At 44.4% G+C, this 20,905-nt stretch overlaps 1 protein-coding gene across 5 annotated transcripts in view, besides 2 other annotated features; it reads right to left on the reverse strand.

Moving 5' to 3' along the window:
- CAPN14 (calpain 14) overlaps window positions 1-20,905 on the reverse strand; it is a 60,902-nt gene that overhangs the window by 29,065 nt on the left and 10,932 nt on the right. For 4 of the 5 annotated variants that reach the window (XM_011532864.4, NM_001321270.2, XM_011532865.2 and 1 more), the window contains 3 exons: window positions 3,103-3,379; window positions 950-1,019; window positions 14-132 (listed from right to left, as the gene is read on the reverse strand). In XM_011532864.4, the coding sequence (XP_011531166.1) occupies window positions 14-132; window positions 950-1,019; window positions 3,103-3,327 (414 nt within the window). In that variant the 5' untranslated portion in view covers window positions 3,328-3,379. Of the gene's footprint in view, window positions 1-13; window positions 133-949; window positions 1,020-3,102; window positions 3,380-15,335; window positions 15,396-20,905 lie in introns of those variants that run through there. The other variant, NM_001145122.2, reaches the window with a different exon arrangement.
- Window positions 12,018-12,518: an enhancer, noted in NCBI's record as "H3K27ac hESC enhancer chr2:31437004-31437504 (GRCh37/hg19 assembly coordinates)". NCBI's record gives its function as "activates a minimal SCP1, AML or CMV promoter by ChIP-STARR-seq in primed H9 embryonic stem cells {active_cell/tissue: H9 hESC(primed)}" and the evidence as "EXISTENCE:reporter gene assay evidence [ECO:0000049][PMID:30033119]".
- Window positions 12,519-13,019: an enhancer, noted in NCBI's record as "H3K27ac hESC enhancer chr2:31437505-31438005 (GRCh37/hg19 assembly coordinates)". NCBI's record gives its function as "activates a minimal SCP1, AML or CMV promoter by ChIP-STARR-seq in primed H9 embryonic stem cells {active_cell/tissue: H9 hESC(primed)}" and the evidence as "EXISTENCE:reporter gene assay evidence [ECO:0000049][PMID:30033119]".

The following is a 20,905-nucleotide window of genomic DNA, read 5'->3' on the forward strand; positions in this document are numbered from 1 at the left end:
GGAAGACACTCACCCAGAACCGGAAGATGCCAGCATACTTCTCAGTGAAACTCTGATTCAGGGGAACAACCCGGCTCAGGATGTCCTGGTGCAAGGCCAGAGCTTGCAAAGCAGCCAAGAACCAGCAGTCTCCTAAGTCAGACAGCACACAGCATCTGCATGAATCTACTGGGGACTTTATGACTGCAGAAAATGCCCGGTCCCAATGGCCACCCTCTCTGGGCTTGTAGCCCAGTTTAGGAGAAGGGAATTATATACTGGGAAGGCGGATGATGAGTGAGCAGAGGTGGGGCTGGGAGCATTGGCTGAAATCCAACTTGACCCCAAAACCAGAGCCATGTTCCTGGGCCAGATTTTAGATCTGGACCAGGAATTTTAGATTCCTGAATGCCCTATCCTCAGGAATTGGGACCTCAACGCCACTCACTTTTTCCAAATCTTGCCTCTGAAACTGATTTATGTTCTTCTGGGAAAGCCTCAATCCTTCAGGACTCCATTTCCCTGTCTGTGAAATGGGTATCACTGGACTTGGCTGAGCCTTCCCTGATGACCAATTTACTATTTTAAAAAGGTAGAGTTGAGGATAGATCTGCTTTGATCCTATTCTGGCGAGGCTAATGACTGCTGTCTCAAGAAGGACCCATTGTGGGAACTAAAATAGAGTGAGCACATTTTCCAAATTTAAATTTAGACCTGTAAACTGGTAATGAGGACTATGTGAGGACTTAGGCAGGGTATGGCATTCCCACGCATCCCCAGAGGACCAGTTTTTATAAACTTCACGGCAAAGAACAGAACATGTCCAGGTAGCGTTTTGCCAGTGAATAGCCATTTTGGGCCTCTCTCCAGTGGGGATCTCTGGCTTCTCTTCTTTATCAACCACTCTGTCTTGGCCAGGCCTGGTCAGCAGGCAGCCTAGTGTCTGTCTCTCGGGGCTGTGCAAACTTACCTACTATCCCCTGGCACAGATCCAGCCTTTTGGCCTTGGCAAAATAAAACTGGGGATTGCTGTGCAGCTCCTGGGAAAGACAAACAGAATTGTCATTCTGACCTAGAACAAAAAAGCTCCTGGAGCTACAGTGACCACGTTTTCCCATACCCCAAAACTGTACTTATGGGGACAAAGATACAGAATATAGGTGTAATCAGTGCTATCCCAGAAGATCTGGGATACAGAATTCTGTCCTTTGTATTTCTCATTCCTTCTTATAGCTCGTGTAAGTCAGAGCCCTGGAGAACTCTGTGTAGATATTGAGAAATAGCACTTATACCAAAAATGCCTTTTCTTAGAGTTTCTATTAAAAATGGAAACACTTTTATAGGAGGTATTTTCAGTTTTCCTAGATATCTTCTCTTTCGCTTTTTTCTCCCCTATTCCTCCTTCTTATTCCTGACCCCTAATATGATGTTCTTTTTGGCTTTTCCTGATGCGATGCAGCCTGTGATGGGGTGGTAGGGGGGTTGTCTCTGCTCCGTGGCAAGATTTATATTCTCAGTCTTTGCGCGGACACAGTTTCCCCAAGTCAGATGTAGAACAGAGTCTCTATGTCAGCAGTTCCCAGGATTTTCTGAGAGAAGTAGGATCTTGGCTGCCATGTAGTTTAGGAGGCTCACTGCAGAATTTTACACACAGTAGGGACTTCATAAGTCTGGGGCTGCAGGTATCGATGGTGATGGGTGAGTAGGGAAGAGAAAAGGAAAGTCTGTGGCACAGGCTTACACTTTACCCTGTTCACTAGCTGTGTTCCTGAAATCTTGTAGGTAAATCAAGTTTCAGGGAGATGGATTACATTTGAACACATTAAGAAGTTGCTTTTTAAAGGAATTGATGCATTTTATAGAGTGAAGAATACTTTTGTAAAGTGATTAATAGCTTCTTAATTTAAATGTTTCATGAACCTGTTTTGGGGGTAGGAGGTTGGAGAGATGTTAAAATTTATCTCTCTGGCAGATGGTATTGGCTGTGACTCAGGAAGCCTTGCCATCTCAGATGAAGCTAAACAGTACCTTGATATATTTTTGGCTATAGCTGTTCTGCATATTTCTGGGCAGGACTGAGGGAGGGCTACATCTTAGACCATTCTCAAAATCACCCTTGGTTTTTTCCATCTGGAAAGTGAGAATGTGGGAACATACCCATCCCTTCTCATGGAGATCAATGACAGTAAGACCTGGTGTGATATTGTGAAATATATATTTGGTCTTCATTTGCTCAGTTTTCTGACATTCAGCTCCTAAAACCTTGGGAACCTCTAGAGTGATAAGAGTGTCCTTCGTATGCTAATGATTGACTGGTGACTGGTGGTCCCTAGGTAGCTTCAGGATAGGGTCTGGTCATTGGAAAGACCAAGGCAGGATTAGAAGGTTGGGAGTTTCAGCCCCACCCCCTGATCACTGGGGAGGGGAGGGAAACTGAAGGTTAAATTGATCACCAAAGGCCAATGATGTAATCAATCATGCCTAGGTAATAAAGCCTCTATAAAAACCCAAAAGGACAGGGTGTAAGGAGCTCTGAATATCTGAACACACGGAGGTCCCTGGAGGGTGCCACAACCAGGGAGGGCATGAGAGCTCCACACCCCTTCCCCATGCCTTGCCCTGTGCATCTCTTCCACCTGGCTGTCATCTGCATCCTTTGTCATACCCTTTAAAATAAATCATTAAATGTAAGCGAAGCATTTCCCTGAGTCCTGTGAGCCTCTCTAGCAAATTAATCAAACCCAAGGAGGGGATCATGGGAATCACGGTCCTGATTTATGGCTGGTCGTGAGTACAGGTCACAACCTGGGACTTGTGATTGCCATCTGAAGTAGGGGCAGTTTTGTGGGATGAACACTCAACCTGTGAGATCTGACACCGTCTCTAGGTAGACAGTGTCGGAATTAAATTTCATTACAGAATACCCAGATGGTGGCCACCAGAGAATTGCTTGGCATGTGGGGAAAACCTCCTACACATCTGGTGTTAGAAGAGTGTGTTGTGTTGAGTGGAGAGGAGAGAGTAGGAAAAAGCCTGTTTTTTTCTCCCATATATCTTAGGCGCAGTATCTGAAAGCCCTAAACCCTGGGGAAGGAGGGTCTGGGCTGACACATTTTGCCTCACCGGGGGCCTCTTCCACTGCAGGCGGGGTGGCAGCTTCTGCAGCAGGGAGCCACTGCCGATGGAGCTCAGGGTGGCCGGGAAGCTGGTGTCTTCAAAGAGGCAGCCATTCCTCAGGCACTCTGCCAGCAGGGCCTCAAAGTCCTGTTGGGGTTGCTGTGGAGACGCCCTCCTAGAGTACCTTGGCGCCAGCTTCCATCTGCATCGGAAAGGTGGCCACAGAGACATGGCAGGTGGTGGGTACAGTCCAGTGAGTCTTCCTGAGGAGTCTCTGCTGCTCCTGAAATGGAGAGAGGACGGTCAGTTTCCTCACTTCCTCCTTGTGCTTTGCCATTGCCACAGAGACGAGGGGAAGGATGGAGAGAATGGGAGCGGAGAAGTCAGCTGGTGAGAAAGAGACAGAAGCAGGTGGTTCGATTTTGTCCCAGAGAGTGTGGGTCCTTGAGCACTCACTCAAGTGCTTGAGGACCTGGTGGGAGATCAGGGATCTTGTGGCAAAAGCCTACAGAAGGGAAAGTTCTCTCAAGCCTCAGGGCTGAGTCCTGGGCCCCTGACTGCACCAATGTCACGGGGGTCCCTTCTGCTTAGTGGGGAGGCAGGAGAAGAGAAGCAGGAAGCTGGAGCTCAGTCCCCTGGGCCGGAGGGTCCTGTGCCTGCCAAGGTAGTGGGGAGTAGTGGCTGCCTGCTCAGGCCTCCACCAGGCCTGCCAACTCCTGCCTCCCAGCTACAGACACACAGCATTCCTCCTGCTTCAATGTCCTCCTTATTCTTCCCTGCAAAACCTCCTCCTACATTATCTTTATTTTTTTTATTTATTTATTTTTTTTTTTTGAGACAGAGTCTCATTCTGTTGCCCAGGCTGGAGTGCAGTGGCGCGATCTCGGCTCAATGCAACCCCTGGCTTCCAGGTTCAAGCAATTCTCCTGCCTCAGTCTCCCGAGTAGCTGGGATTAGCAAGGCCGCAGGGGGTGCTGGGGGCCAGCAGCTCCCACGTGGAGGCCTCCCAAGGATGTCTCTCCCATCCCAGGAGCCCCCAGCTGCGCTCCGGGTCAAGGGTAAAACCCCAGGCTCCAGCACAGGGTGCGTGGGTCTCTCACAGAAGGCCCCCACGGGCGGTCACAGGCTCTGGCAGGGCTGCAGGTTGGCGTGGGCGAGCCGGCAGTGCATCAGATACAGACGCCCGCCACCACACCCAGCTAATTTTTGTATTTTTAGCAGAGATGGGGTTTCGCCATGTTGGCCAGGCTGGTCTCGAACTCCTGACCTCAAGTGATCTACCCGCCTTGGCCTCCCAAAGTGTTGAGAGATTACAGGCGTGAGCCACCATGCCCAGCCTACATTCTCTTTACAAAGAAATCCTTCCTTGAAGACTTTCTTGCTAATGTAAAAGGGGGACAAAAAAATCACACACACACATATTGTGCCAAATACCAACAGTTGCCAGTACGTGCCCATTCTCCCCTTTTCCTTGTTACCAGAATCCATTTTGATAACCCAGCTACAAAACTTGATTTCCTGGAGCTTCTTGCAGGACAGGTTGGCTACACAATATAGTTTTTCATTTTACAGTTGCAAAACCACTAATCTTATTAGCCTCCCCATTTTTCAGGTGTTACAACTGAAACCTGTCCATTCATTCACCAAAAATTTTACTGGGAACTTATCATTTGTCAGGCTTGAGGTAGGCACTGCTCACCAAAGACAGTCCCTGCCCTCATGGCTCTTACAGTTTAGAGGGTGGGAGAGCGAGAAGGGTTAAATGATCTTCCTGGTGCTATACAGGGAGATTTTATAAGGGCTGTATCCAGAACCCAGAGCCCTGACTCCCATAACAATGTTCAGCTCTCAGTGCTACAAACTGCCTATTACACCCCGCACAGTGTTTGGGACAGAATGTACATGCCCTAAAAGTAACTCGCAAATGTGCTTATACTGAGTGTGACTTCTCCCTCATGGCTGTAGGAGTGACCTGGGGTCCTCTCCATTTGTCAAGGTCCTGCCCATCCCCCAAAGTCTAACTTGAGTCCTTTCCCCAGGAAGCCCTCCTTGAGTGCCTGGCATTCGCTGAGATCCCCTCATTCTGTCTATGGACCCATTGTCTGCCCCATTGGGCACCTACTGTCTTGGTGCTTCTCAAATTATCACTAGTGAAGGGCCTATGTTCTTTTATTTCCGATTTGTCATAGAAATTTAATGAAAATGAATAAATACAAACATAACATTTTAAAAGATACATAAAGTCAAGTCCCCCTTTAAGATTTTTTCAGGTCAGGTGCAAGGGCTCACATCTGTAATCCCAGCACTTTGGGAAGCCAAGGTGGGCAAATCACTTGAGCCCAGAAGTTCGATACCAGCTGGGGCAACATGGCAAAACTTCGTCTACATAAAAATACAAAAATTAGCTAGGCATGGTGATGTATGACTGTAATCTTAGCTACTTGGGAGGCTGAGACAGGAGGATCACTTGAGCCGGGAGGTAGAGTTTGCAGTGAACAGAGATGGCGGCACTGCACTCCAGCCTGGGAAGCAGAGCAAGACTCTGTCTCAAAAAAGAAGTTAGATTCAACAAAAATTAAATTAAATTTAAATTATTTGATCAATTGCTATAAAAGTTTCTAAACACTTGCTCTCAGTTTTGTAGGTAGCTCATCAAGCACTGCCAGTGACCAGTTGGTGGAGTGGCCCCACTGTGGTTCTGCTCTGAGTGATGTATGCACAGAAGCCTCTTCTGCCTAATGGCTTTTGAATCCTCTGCAGGATTAGCACTGCTGGAATGTTGTTTGTCTCACACCCTTACCTCTGAGAGCTGAGGGCAGTCGATTCCTGGCTATTCTTATTTGTCACGGGTGCCTGTGTACTTCCTGGGGGAAGACCCAGCCCTCTTCTAACCCAGGTCACAGAAACTCAAAAGCTGTTACTCAGGTCTTTTATTTTTTTGACTCCAAAAAAAAACTCCAAAAAAAAACTGGAGTTTTTTTCCCTAATGTGGATGAGTAGGCAAAGCTTCCCCCAGGCTTACCCCATTTTCTTCCCAGGAAGTTTCTTCTACCACCTGCACATTTATAAACAAACTTGAGGCCTCACAAAGGCAAGGTCTCCCTTTTTGCCCCTTCAAGCCTTTACAACAATCTTTATTGCTTGTCCTGTGAAAAATGATAGAGGGTCCCTTGGCTTCAGAACCTCCCTCAGGCTCATGCCCTCCTTACCAAGTGCTGGGTCATACCTGGATTCCTCTTCAAGCCTGCAAATACTACATCTTGTGACAAGCACAGTACATCATGGGCTCAGAAGACAAAACACCCATCACAGGTTCCTCTCACCCTCCAAAGTTTAGAATGAGGCCACATGTGTGCGTGCACACACATACACACACAATCTTATTTGTAAATAAGTATTCCTAAGTCACCTTAGGGAGAATATAGGCCCAGATGAAACCAGTTGGCGGTTCTTGCATGTTTCCTATATATTACAAACCATGGATGAAATTGGCTCATTTCCAGATTGGCACAGCTCTCTACAAAGGGCCAGATGGGTCTAGGTCACATTTGGAAATTCATTTTGACTATTGTAAGTGAGCAGCGTTGGAGCAGGTCCACAAAATAAGACTATGCAAATAGATAGGTGAAGGCTAATGGGGCTCGAGCTATTTAAGAATGTGCAGCCTAAAAGCATCCTCCATGGGCCTCAGAGTTCTTTCCTTGGCTCCCCATAAGCTGCCAGGTTGTTCTGCAGTGTTTTGCATGTCAGCATTACTATTATTTTTTATTAGAGACAGGGTCTCACTCTGTCACCCAAGCTGGAGTGCAAGGACACGATCACAGCTTACTACAGCCTTGAACTCCTGGGCTTAAGGGATCCTTCTGCCTCAACCTCTCATGTAGTTAGGACTACAGGCTCATGCCACCATGCGCAGCTAACTTTTTTTTTTTTTTTTTTCTGGAGAGATGAGGTCTTGCTGTGTTGCCCAGGCTAGTCTCTAACTCCTGGCGTCAGGCAGTCCTTCCACCTCAGCCACCCAAAGTGCTGGCATTACAGGCATGAACCACCGTGCCTGTCCAAAATTTATTTATACTCAGGAAGTAAACAGAGAGTCAGGCTTTGATCTTCACTTCTTCCATACTGGCTATTCTCCCCTTATCTATAGATGCTGGGTGCTAGGAAGGGCGTTATGATGGTGAGAGGTGTCAAATAACCTGGTGCTCAGATAACCTAAGTGCCTTGATCCAGAGGAGGAGGCCTTTGAACGCTAACTAGCTTGTGAACATCAGGAGCATCACCAGACAAGACACCTGGGGATACACCAGCCAGCAGCGCAAACTCCAAACCCCAATCCCTGTATACAGGCAGGGTTTCCTTGTCTCTCCTGATAACCCTCTGCCTATTTAATATGTTAGTGTTTACTAAAAGGTAAATGGGAACATTTTAAATGTGGGAGAAGGAACAGACTCTAGATACACCTTGTGTCAAAATTTACTCCTTCAGGTGGGTCTCAGTGATATTTCAGTAGCCAGTGTGAGCAGGATGACAGGAGCCAGCTGTGCACATCTCTTCTCAAGTCTGTATTCCATCATGCCATGTTAGTACCTTGTAATTGGCCATCATGGGAGTGTCCATACCATGGAATGGGTAAATGCTACAAATCAGAGCTACTTGGCCTTTTAAAAGAAAAAAAAAATTGAGAGCTAGTTGTTGAATATTACCAGCACAGCACTGGTCAACCTTAAGACAGCAGATTGCCTGGTCCTATGAGGTTGTCCAGCTGGAAGTTTCCGTGTTGTCCAGGAATACAGAGTCCATAGCCACAGGTGAGAATCTGTGAAGGCTTTACAAAGGGTGGTCTTACAACTCATTTGGAAAGAGAGGTTGATGTCAGTGAAAACATTGACTCTCACAAACTGGACAGAAATGAATACTGTATCTCTGCCATTGAAAGTTCAGTCAGGGCCAGGAGCGGTGGCTCACGCCTGTAATCCCAGCACTTTGGGAGGCTGAGGAGGGCGGATCACGAGGTCAAGAGATCAAGACCATCCTGGCTAACATGGTGAAACCCCGTCTGTACTAAAAATGCAAAAAAAAAAATTAGCCGGGCGTGGTGGCAGGTGCCTGTAGTCCCAGCTACTCGGGAGGCTGAGGCAGGAGAATGGTGTGAACCCGGGAGGCGGAGCTTGCAGTGAGCCGAGATTGCGCCACTGCACTCCAGCCTGGGCGACAGAGCGTGTCTCCATCTCAAAAAAATAAAACATAAAATAAAATAAAATAAAATAAAATAAAAGTTCAGTCAGACTGCAGGTTTTTATACATTTGTTCTAATCACTTTCAAGTCAGGAGAATTAGTTTTCACTTAGTTATGAGTTGACTTATTTTCATTTTAAAATCCAAATAACATATATTTATTGCAGAAAAATCAAGGGAAAGAAAGGAAATATAAATTACCCATATTTCCACTACTCAATGATAGTCATAGTTAACATTTTAATGTATACTTTTAGAGAAAATTTTCTATGCTTAATTATTTTTCTAATGAAAGTGAATATATTATACATTGTGTTTTATACTTTTTTTACTTGACAATATCTAATGAACACTTGCCTTTGCCAATAAGTTGAATATACAAGAACGTATTTAGTTGTTGCAAAGCATGCCAAATCATAGGTCAACCAAAATTTATTTTTAAAATCTACTGTTTCTGGAATTTCATGTTATTTCTTCTTTTTCACTAAACAGTGACAGTATTACTAGAGTTTAACTATGTCTTTGAGCACATCCGAATTATTTTCCTAGGATAAATTTGGGCTAGAATGAAATTTATTTAACCCAAGAAAAGATATTTACTAAAAAAATCTAGAGGAACACCATACTTTCTGAGGAAAGATAAAAGATATTTCCTTAAACAGAAGATAAGAATGGTGATTACTACCATTCTTAATCACTTTTAATTGTAATTCCTAGTTAAGCCAATAAAACAGAAAGAAAGAAAAAAGAAAGAAAGAAAGAAAAAGAAAGAGAGAAAGAAAGAAAAAGAGAGAAAGAGAGGGAGGGAGGAAGGAAGGGTCACAAAAATCAGAAAGCAAAAAAAATGACTATTATTCACAGAAGAGGTTATTTTACATGTAGAATATCTAAGAAAATATTTTTTAAAAACCATAGGAAATAACAGAATTCAAGAAGGTCAATGAATACAAGTTAAATACACTATACAGAAACTCGGTGGTATTCTTTTTAAAACAGCAAGAACTAACTAGAAAATGTATTAGGAAAAAAAATCTATTCTTCATAGCGACTCAGGTTACTAGTTTGAGTAACCTGGTGCCATTAATCAAATACAGGAGTCAGTTACAGGTTCTGGAGCAAAATGATTTTAGATAAAATCATCATAGATAAATATGCAATGACCAATGAAGTTGTATATAGATCATGGCCCCAATATTATTAAATGAGCACGTGTGCATGTGCACACACACACACACACACACACACACACGATGGGAAGAAAATATATATAAATAAGAATATGAACTATCTCTGGATAATGTGACTAAGACATTTATTTTACTTTATTAGACTGTTCTATATTTTTGGACTCCTCGATTAGTATGTATTACTTTTATCATGAGGAAAAAAATGTGTTTAATAAAAATACAATATTTAAAAAAAAGCAAGTCAGTGGTTACCTGGGGCTAGGAGAGGGAATTGCTCAGGAAGGAGTGCAAAATAACTTTTGGGGTAATGGAAATGTTCTATATTGACTGTGGTGGTTGCATCTGTATATTTTTTCATCAAAACTCAATGAACTATGTACAACACACTTAAAAACATGGCCAGGCACAGTGGCTCACGTCTGCAATCCCAGTACCTTGGGAGGCCAAGATCACTTGAGGTCAAGAGTTCAAGACCAGCTTGGCCAACATGGCAAAACCCCATCTCCACTAAAAATACAATAATTAGCTGGGCGCTGTGGTGGGCGCCCGTAATCCCAGCTACTCAGGAGACCAAGGCAGGAGAATTGCTTGAACCTGGGAGGTGGAGGTTGCAGTGAGCTGAGATCCCACCACTGCACTCCAGCCTGGGTGACAGAATAAGACCGTCTCAAAACAAAAAAAAAAAAAAACAAAAAAAACACAATGTGGTACATGTTTATTATATATAATCATGCCTCAATATAGTTGATTCAAACTAAAATTTTAAATTTATATAGAAAAACCAGGGGATCTGTCTGATTCCTGTCCTACTGGCATCATCATGATGAACTACTGCCTTGATTTGGAAAAATAAGATCTGCCCAAATCCTGGCTTTCTTTGGTGGTGGCTACTTTTTCAACCATCTCTGAAGCAGTTGAGAATTCTGGGCTCCATTTTAAAGTGGGAAAAACTGAGATCCTAAGAAATAGAAAGGAATTTCCCAGGAATTTCACCAGAGTGCAAAAATAGGAACTAATTCCCAGGGGTCCATTCAGTGTCTTGAGTCCCTGCCCTGATGTTCAGTTCATTCACACATTTACTGAACACCTACTATGTGCTAGACACTATGTCTCAGACTGGGAATGTAACACCTGGCCTTTGATCAACCTACAGGGTAGAGTCAGGTCTCTGGAACGGAAGCAAAAGAAATAAGTACCATGCACTCACTCACATGAACCTGTAGAATCCTCCTGGGGGATGATGGATTTCCAGAGAACTCTGGCATCTTGCCACAACCCACTAAGTTGTCTCAGGCAAAATTGTAGTAGAAACCTAGGCTCTTTGTACAAGACTCTGTCTACATGATAAAAAGCACCAGATTGAAAAATGATCAATTCCCTGCTCTCGACAGTCGGAACAAAAGAACAAGACTAACTATAGGCTTTGCCTGATTTATCTTGAGCAGGGATTGTACTTCTTTTGTGTAATAGGTGGTGTGCAGTGGCCATGGAGTGCTGGGTTTGGGATTGGAAAACCCAGAAGGCAAGTGAGTTTGCCACCTCTTCCCCATGTGCCCGTGTGCTGACTCCTTTATCCTCTCTGAGCTGGCTTCCTCACCCTCAATATGGGATGACATGTACTGTGCCTACTCTCAGAACTCAAAAGAGATAATCGTGTGAAAAGACTTGACAAAAGTCTAAAGTAGGAGTTGGCAAACTACAGCCTGGATAAATAAAGTTTTACTGAAACTACAGCCACACTTATCTGTCTGGTATTGTCCGTGGCTGCTTTCGCATTACAACAGCGGAGTTGAGTCATTGCCACGGAGTTCTTAGGGGCCACAAGCCTAAAATATTTACTATGCTGTCCTTCATAGGCAAAGTTTGCTGAGCACTGCTCTAAAGCACTGTTTAACCAGGTAGATTGCTGTTGCAGGGCTAGGCACAGGGGTAAGCTCCAAGTAGGAACTCACAGATTAAAATGTGGTTGGTTGAATCCATCATTAAGAATTTATCTTAATGAAACAATTTTATCTCTAATTGATTCGTTGACTTTTTAATAGACCCTTAACATTTACAGTTACAATCATGTCTCAAAACACTTGCAAATGTGGCCTGCAGTTTCTCTCTGCTAAAGTTTCACATCTAATCCCTTATTTAGATGTGATAACATCAGACATTCCTGGGCAGTTTTCAGGTGGTTCTGTGGTTACTGATTACGAACAGGAAAACAGCATCTCTATGTACATATCATGACCTGTTCATAAAAGATGAAATGATTTTGTAATGTTAATGGTTTGAAAGGCTTTAAATTGTTTTTCTTTTACTGTTTAGACATCTGTCTGCATTTAGATCAAGTTTCTAACAGAAAACCCCAAGCATGATTCTTCATTTATTAGAGCAGACATTTGCCTTTCAGTAAACAATGATGAATGTGGCCCAACTATGAGTTCTTGAAGGCGAGAATGGTATAGGCTTTTTAAAATCTGTATTCCCAGATGTGATCATTCATGATATAGTCACATAATACCATGAATAAACAGATGCTTGATAAATGCTGGCCAATTGACTCACTGACAGAAGGGATGGATGTTTCTTCACTTGGAAAATGTAAAGAACAATAAAGCGTGCCCTCCCCTCCCCTCTTATGAAGCTGAACTGAGATAAAGGAAGTTAAAAACTTCCTGTGAACTGTCAATCACTTGGCTGCTCCTCTGGTGTCTGATCACATTGCTGGGGCCTGATTTAGGTTGAGGGAGCCTCTTTAACATCCTTCCCCTCCAAAATGCTCATCCAGGCTTGCCTTAGGGCTCCTTTCCTGGGTGGTATGTGGGATCCACGTCAAAGCAACCTGGGGAAGTAAAACCAAGGTCAGACCTAAAAGAAAAAACAAGTCTCCAAAGGGAACATGCACCTTGGGAGAAGGTGGGGGAGAAGCGGCAGGAAGTCCCTTAACTGGCAATGCTGGGGTAGGCGTCCCCTGGGCTGACTGCATGCCTCTATGGAGGTCTAAGAACTTGGCTGTTGGAGCTCCCTACTCACCCCCAGCTGCCCCACTTCCATTTGACTTTATGAGACACTGCATAGTCACAAATCTTTGCAGAGAATAAGACTCCCTGGAGCATGGGTGTACACCTTGAGTTGCCACGACCTGGACACAGCTTTCCCTGAGCAAAGGAACATCCGCTCGGCCTTTGTGGAAGTTGCACCCTGGCGTCGCTCATTGCAGCTGAACCAAATATGAGGCTAGAAGGAACTTAGTGGTCATCCAATTCAGTGCCCCCATGTACTGACAGGACCTCTGAGCAGTTCCAGGGAGTCATGGCCTGCTTGGCCTGACTGTTGGGGGAGCCCTGGGGCATCATCTCTTCTCTCCGGCACAGGCACACCCTCTTTGTACAGCCTCCTCCTAAACTATGACTTCAGTGGAGTCACTCTGTTCCCCTCCAGCTGCCCTGCTCTGACACTTTCAACCCCAAGAGGTAGCGGCACCCTAGTCTGAGAGTCATCCCCTACTCTTCTTTTTCTATCCATTCCCACGCTTTTAAAGAGCCAATCCTTCTGATTTTTTAAAACAAAATATCAAATGATTCTGAACATTTGACAACACATTTGGACAGGAAAGACTTTTAAAGCAGATGTAAATTCATTCCTTTTTTTTTTTGCAGGGGCATTTGCATCTTCAGAGAGTCATGGAATTTGAGCTAGATGAGCGGTCAGACTGAGGTAGCTCATCTCCTCCTCTGATCCTGCATTTGCCATAGGACTGGCCATTTCACGTCACGCCCTCAAAACCACACAGCTCATGGCCTCAAGTCCAAATGGCCAGGCTCTTGGTGTGTTAGTTCCTTTCTGTGTACACAAACCCCCACCACACACCCTCTGCTCTGTCCAAACTTACAAAGGAGATGTCGCTTCCTCCTGACCCCCTCTACCTCAAATCTCCCTCATCCTTCAAAGCTCAGGGCAAATGTCCCTCCTCTCCAGAGCCTTCCCTGGAAACCTCTTGTCTTCTCCTTGTGGGGCTTTCCTGCCCTTCACTCACACTCATGAACTGGGGAGAGAATGCTGGTTAACAGCCCCCTCCTCTCCCAAGCCCACTCCTGGGCTGGAAGACTTGGCCGGTCATTTTAGGCTCTGATTAACGCTACTCCAGAAGATCAAAGTATGCAGTTAAAAACCCAGGCAAACTTTTGGAAAAAGTAAGTCAATTAGAAACATCTTAAAAAAGAAAAAAAAAAAAAAAAGAAACTATTTGACAGTAAATACTATAGCTAAACACATACAAACTATATGATACAATTCCATTCCTGGTTATTACCCAACAGAAATGCTTAAATCTATGCACCAAAAGACATGTACAAGAATACTCACAACAGAAATATGCAAAATATCCCCAAATGAAAACTACCCAAATGTCCATGAACATGGATAAATATTAATAATAGTGATAACCATTTATACAATGAAATACTTCACAGCTCTGAACAAACAAGAATTACATGCTGCAATATGATGAGATTCACAAACAATATTAAGTAGAAAAAATCCAGACACAAAAACTCTTTGATTCCATTTACATAACTTTCAAAAGTGACAAAACCAATCTATATGTTAGAAATTAGCTTAGTGGTTACCCTTGAGGTCGAGCGATCTATCACCAAACCAATTATACCACTGATAGTTACATCAATTCCATTCCTTTTCTACTGCTTGTTTTGATGGTCAGGAGAGAGATTTACAAGGGAGTTTGAAAAGTGGGAGAATCAATTCATTTAAACAAGGCTTTATTGCATGCTTCCCCATGGGCCAGGCATTGCCCTAGATGGTAGGGGTACAGGATGGATTAGACAGAATTTCTGCCCTCGAGGAAGTCACAGTCCAACGACCAGGCTCACACTCTAGAAAGGGCCCTCACTCTTCAGCATGAGGTGCCCACTCTGTGAAATGGCCAGTACCTAACTCATCCAAGAATTCTCCCCCTAGAAAGTCAAAGACACCCCTCACCCTATCAGGCCTGGAAGATGTACCCAGGCTGAAACACTTAGGTACCACCCACCAAAACATTGTCACCCTGTGCCTCCATAGGAGAGGGTTATAAGCTGAACTGAGAGCCGACTACCTCGCTCTGGAGTCCTCCAGAGCTTTGAGGAGTGATTTCCAGTGCCCATAGGCCAGCAGACCACTCAGACAAGGGCAATTTCGAGATTTCTAATCTAGGCAAGGGCCGTGCCAAGCACCACACTGACAGCTATCATTTGAGGCAATATTTCACTCTTATAGTGTGGTCACCGTCCCAGTGTGTTTTTCACATCTAATTTCATACAGGAAGTCAGCCCAGCCTCACTGCTTATCAGAACAGAGAACAGTCGGCCTCCTTGACTCTGAGGATCCCATAAGGCCTCAGTGATAAGCTGGCTGCCCCCAGATTCCTTCTCATCAGGAGGCTCAGGAGACAACTGGGATGGCCTATGTTCTGGGAAATGACAGCACCTAGCAGCATCAGTAACTCTACCAAATGACTTCGAGAGAAACCAGAGCTGGAGGGACCTCAGAAATTACCCAGGCCCAAAGATACTCCCATCTTTTTTTTTAAATGAGGAGATTGGGGCCAAAGGGCTGAAGTCTATTCCTCAAGGTCACACTAATAAGTGATGGCAAAACTGAGGACAAAATTGAAATCTCCAGACTCCAGGGTTTTTTCTGTATACACTCACCTGCAAAGCTCAAACCAGGAGAAGCAAATACCATCCTCTCACCTTCTAAACCCAGACCCTGTAGAGTCTCATAGGGCCTCTGGGCTAACTTGGACCCACCCTTGGAACTAAAGAAATTTACCTGCACAGGAGATTTTGCTTCTTTAAGCGCCTGGGCAAGCTCTAATCCCGGTGCAGTCAGAAGCATGCAGCCTGAAACCACCTCTTATATATGGGTCCTTTCTACACATGGTGTTTAGCCAAGAATTTGCGACCCCACCTCCCAGGACCTTGGTTCCTCCCCACTGTGTGTTCTCTGGAAGGGAGTGGAGTACCCAGGGCTTTGCGACTGGATTACACAAATCCAATTATTTCTTTAGAACACCATACAGAGAAAGCCTGTTTCAGTAATGCCTTAATGAGAGAGAGTTAGTCATCTTCTCACTTCCAACCCTGGGGAGGGTACTTTCAGGTGTGACCTAGAAAAGCATTTCACTGCAGGAGCACATGATACTGCTTGCTCACCTCCCCACAACTCCCAGGACACCAAAGAACCAAGACAGAGATTCCTGTACATCCCTATGTTTAAACTAACATTGACAGAAGCCTGGAAAGTATTTTCAAGAGGTGGCTGTGGGTTTTCTTTTATGGTTGTCAGAGTCTGAGGCAGCCCTCAGGGATGTTTCCTGCTAAGGAGGAAATCTGTGATTCATTTGTGCTATTGAGATCGCTCCCTCTTCCTTCCCAACCTACTTTCCAAATCCCCCATTTTGGCCATCTGGGACTCAGAACATTGACCTCCCACTGGTTGTCTCCTCACAGTTCACCTTGGGTCCCGTTGCTCCAAATCTGGTTGTTCTTCCCTTAAAGCATTTCTTAGCCCTCCTGTGGTTGCTCTAGACTTCTTCACTCCCTCCCCACCCCCACCCCCAAATCCTTCTCCTAGGTTCCCACCACCACTTGCACAGATTTCCATCATAGCAGCTTAGTTGGTTCCAGCTTGCCTGCCTCCACGCTTGCACACCTAGGATCCCCAGAACCCAGAACCATGCCTAGTACCCAGGAGGTGCTCAATATGTGTCAGTGGAATCAGAGTCCCTTGCCTGTGGAAATCCTCTGTCCTCTTCCTCCCCGCCTGCTTCTTGGCCTCTGCCTTGACTCTAATCTCTCCAACTCAATCATTTTGTGTGATTATCACTCCACCCATTTTATTAGTACTGATAAATTAACTAATATTGATAATAATAGCCAACACGTTTTGAGCACTTATGACATGCCAAGCACAATGCTAAGCACATTGCATGCAGAATCTCATGGAATCTTCACAACTTTGTGAGGTAGTGCTATTATTATCCACATTCTACAAAAAGAAAACGGAGGCACAGCATGGCAACTCGCCCAAGATAACCGCAGCCAGTAAACAGCAGAGATGGGGCTAAAGTCCCAGGGTGTCAGGTTCCACTAACTTCTCCTCATCTTTGTCAAGGAATTGTCTCCCTGCCACTGTCAAATCAAATCCAAAGCTTTCTTCCTGAGCTAAACGCTCTTTGGAGCCTTCCCCCTGCCTCATGTGCCAAATAGCCACCCTTCCTCGCATGGGTCTGAAGGTGTTATGAGGATAGCAGAAGCAGTGGATCTGGGAAGACCATTATTATTATTATCTATCTCCCAGACATAACCTTTTCATTTTCATCTCCTCATCCTGGCCCTTAGTTATCTTCCCCCTTCTATTCATCATCTTTTCAGGGACTCCAGGTGGGGGGCTTCCGCTCATCCCTTGGGACAGCACCCTGCACCTGGCACAGGGTTAGGCTCACTCTATGTCTAAGTTGTTGTTATGGTCACCACTGGGCTTACCATAAATTGTGCTGCGGATTCACAGAGCCACCGAGACGCATAGGGTAAGGCCCAAGGGCCATTTCCTCCCGTGACAACTCTTGAAAGTTATTGTCCTGGGTGACAGGAAACAGATGGCCGGGGAGCCTTGCACAGCAGCACTGTGGCCTTTTAACATCTCAGAGGTCATACATCCCTTCCCCAGGCTTCCGACTGTCACCCAGGACAGACTAGTATGCCTGAGAAAAAGGCAGTGAAGGCAAGTGCATCTGGTGATGAGCCTTCTGTCTCTGCAAGGCACAGGCAATCCTGACCCACAGTGGGCTGTGGACCAGAAGTGGGTTGGCAAGTTTGTGATTTATGACCAGAAATTTACTTTCCCGTGGAAACAAGATTTTAGGAGTGGTGAAGCCTTTCCCAGAAAGGCTTTGATGGGCTTCACAAGCTCAGGAGCAGTAGAACCGGAGCACTTGCTAGAGTTCTAAGTCCTGGAGGCAAAGAAGAGGGAAATGCATTCCTCGGCTGGTGGCACAGTGGAGTATTGGAGAATGAGGGTTGGCTTGAAAGTCAGAAACACAGATGTAGGTTCACTAACTTTGTGAAGCTGGGCAAGCCATTTCCTCTTTCTGGGACTCAATCATGTGAAACACAGTTGTGCTCGTCATCTCTCTACTTTCTGTTACAACATATTATGATTCTGTTTGGGACCAGCCTTGAGCAAACATTCAAAGGAGGTCAAATGCGTCTGTGGCACCTTCTAATGTCCTACTTCCCACTTCTTCTAGAAGAGTCCAAGTGCCCTAAATAATCTGCCTCTCCCACAAACCTAATTGCTCTCTAAAGTTTCTCCTTCCTTTCCCTCTAATCAAAATTCTCATTCCTTCAGGGCACGGGAAAGCAATCAAATTGAATTCCTGATGTCTCACTACTGTGTGAATAGCTTCCAAGTCCTTAACCTCACCATAATATTTGCATTTTTTAAAATAGAGAACTCCTTTTCCAAATGAATCCCTGATTGTTGGAATTTGGGGCACTGAAATAAGAAGTAAAAAAATCCAGTTGAGGAATAAAATAGAGTACTGAGATAGTAAATAATGACTGCTCCAAGGTGACCCTTCATGGGCACACAGGTTATTTATGGGGTTTCATTAGACTCACGTTAAGGAACAAGTAAAACTGTTTTGTATCCAACACAACTGTAAATAAGAAAAACTACTGAAATGCCTATGGCTAAGCTCTAACCATTGATTCTCCCTTTGCCAACATAAGAGTAAAGCGAGAAAGTCATGGGGTAGCATTACCCTGGCCAGGGTTACTTCTGGCAGCCCCACAGACAGGGGATGTCAGGCTGTGGTGGCTGCAGCAGCACCAAAGCTTCATAAAACTAACTGACGGCCAGGCATGGTGGCTCACGCCTGTAATCCCAACACTTTGGGAGGCCGAGGCAGGCGGATCACGAGGTCAGGAGACCAACATGACCAACAGCCTGACCAACATGGTGAAACCCCAACTCTACTAAAACTGCACAAATTAGCTGGGTGTGGTGGCACACATCTGTAATCCCAGCTACTCAGGAGGCTGAGGTGGGAGAATCGCTTGAACCAGGGAGGCAGAGGTTGCAGTGAGCCAAGATCACGCCACTAACTGACAAGTCATGCTATTCCTTGATGTTTTTTTCCACCTGATTTTTGTTCGTTTGGTTATACATTTTCAAAACCAGGATCCAACAAGGAGAAGAGAAGGGCTTTGATTTGTGAGTGGGAGAAAAGACAATAACAAGTTCAGAAGAATGAAAGGAAAAATTGATGATTCCATATATAACTTTCAAGCATTAGAAATTTATCCAAGAACCGAGATAATAAAAAGAGGCTTTGTGGGGTAGCTCATAAATGAAAAGTCATCGCCAAGGTTTCAAAGTAAATTCCAAGACCTAAGTTATTAAATCCTTCACATTCACAATATTTTTAGAATGTCACAGAAAAATATTCGTTAAGAAATTCACTATGAAGTTTGAAAAATAAACACAGACAAGCTATTTTCTCAACAGAAGGGTGTTTTCCTAAGTTATCAGAGAGCTAATTAAAATTTCAAGAACATTTATTCATAACAAATAATTTGAGTGAATTCTGATTGACAAGGACTGCTCTGTCTGGGGAGGGCTTGGGGACAGGGCTGTGAGCCATGCCAATCAGGGAGGCAAGGCAGGTACAGTGCATGTTTCTTATTTTCTGCCTCTATTTTAATTGTGTACTTGGCATTGTTTAATGGGTCCAAATCAATACACTACTAAGGAACATATTTCTAACCATTCTCTTCTTGACCCTTTCTTTGTTCCTGATATCATTTTCTCCAAGTGTCTCACAGTTTTACCTGTGTTCATCTGCCTTTTTGGGGTTTGGTTTTTTTTTGGTTTACTTTTGGCTTTGTTTTCCTTCTGACTTGTAAACTACCTATCTTTCTTGGCAGAAAATGTATTTGTATTTGCCATTATGATGCTCATGACAGGGAACACTGATCGCCAGGGAGAACAGCGTGGTTTCTGCATTTCCTTCCGAGAGACGGTTGCAAGGCTTCTGTTTCATGTCATTGGGGTATAGTCGGAAAGAAGCCCTGGTGGTAAATAAACCATGACTAATTTCAAGGATACAAAAGTGAATAAGACATTGCGACTGATGCCCAGAAGATGCAAGAAAAGAGGGACAAAGTGCCTTGAAGTCAGCAGCACCCCAGCCAGAGTGAGGGCTCTAGCACAGTTGCCAATGTAGCAGCCCCAATTCCTGGGAGTTTTTCACACACAACCCTCTGAAGCACTGTGTCTAGCATGGATGCCTCAGGTCTGCCAGTCAAAGGAATTCCTCACCTTAACAACTATGTCAAATAGCCATCCTAAGGCTTGCATTATCTTAAAATAGAGGGATTCTCTATGTACAGAAAATAACACACTTTTATGGAGTTGTGTGGGCAAAAGTTTTCAATAGAACATGGAAGAGACTTATGTTGAAATGAATTTTCCTCCTACAGTTCCAAGGAAAGGTTTATCTGTGCCTTTCAAAGCATAAAAGACCAAACTTCCCCTCAACTGAAAAGCATGATATCTAGTAAGTCTTTGAGTCTGGGCTTTTTCGAAAGAGGAAGCAGCTCTGAAAACATTAGTCGCTTAGGTGGCCTTCATACCTGGGCCTCCCGAACACATAGCAACCTTCACTTTGACCTGCCCTCTCTGGAATTATGTGGAGTTTGCATCCTAGAAAGAGCTTACGTTTGGAGTCAGATCAGCCTGCAGTTTGACCCTGATGCTACTGCTTACTAGTTGGATAGCCTCAAGATAGCAACTCACCTCTAAGAGCCTCAGTGTTATCATCCACAAAATGGGAATGATAGATACTTTACATGATTAGTGGAAAAATTCAATTGTTTGTTTTGTAATGAATATAAAACATTTAGTCCAGGGGCTGGTACATAATATGCACTCAATACATTTTTTGAAAATCATAATTGTGATTATTCACTAATGATTGGATTTGGTGCTTACTGAGAGGTTTTTGAGAACCTTTTAACCCCTTGGACTAGGTGTGATTGGTCTACAGGATATCCAAGTGAAAGTGTCAGAAAAAGATCTGGAGTTCAAAGATGTTACGGAGTGAATGTTTGCGACCTCCCAAAATTCACAGGTGGAAATCCTGACCCCCAGTGTGATCACATTCGGAGATGGAGCCTTGTGGAGGTACTTAGATCATGAGGGTGGAGCAATGAATGGGATTTATGAATCGGAGTTATGAATGGGATTAGGGCTCTTATAAAAGGGACCCCAGAGAACTCTCCTGCCAACTTTCCGCCATGTGAGGATACAACAAGAAGTTGGCAACAAGCAACCTG

The sequence above is a fragment of the Homo sapiens genome, chromosome 2 (genome assembly GCF_000001405.40).
Source record: "Homo sapiens chromosome 2, GRCh38.p14 Primary Assembly".
NCBI lineage: Eukaryota > Metazoa > Chordata > Mammalia > Primates > Hominidae > Homo > Homo sapiens.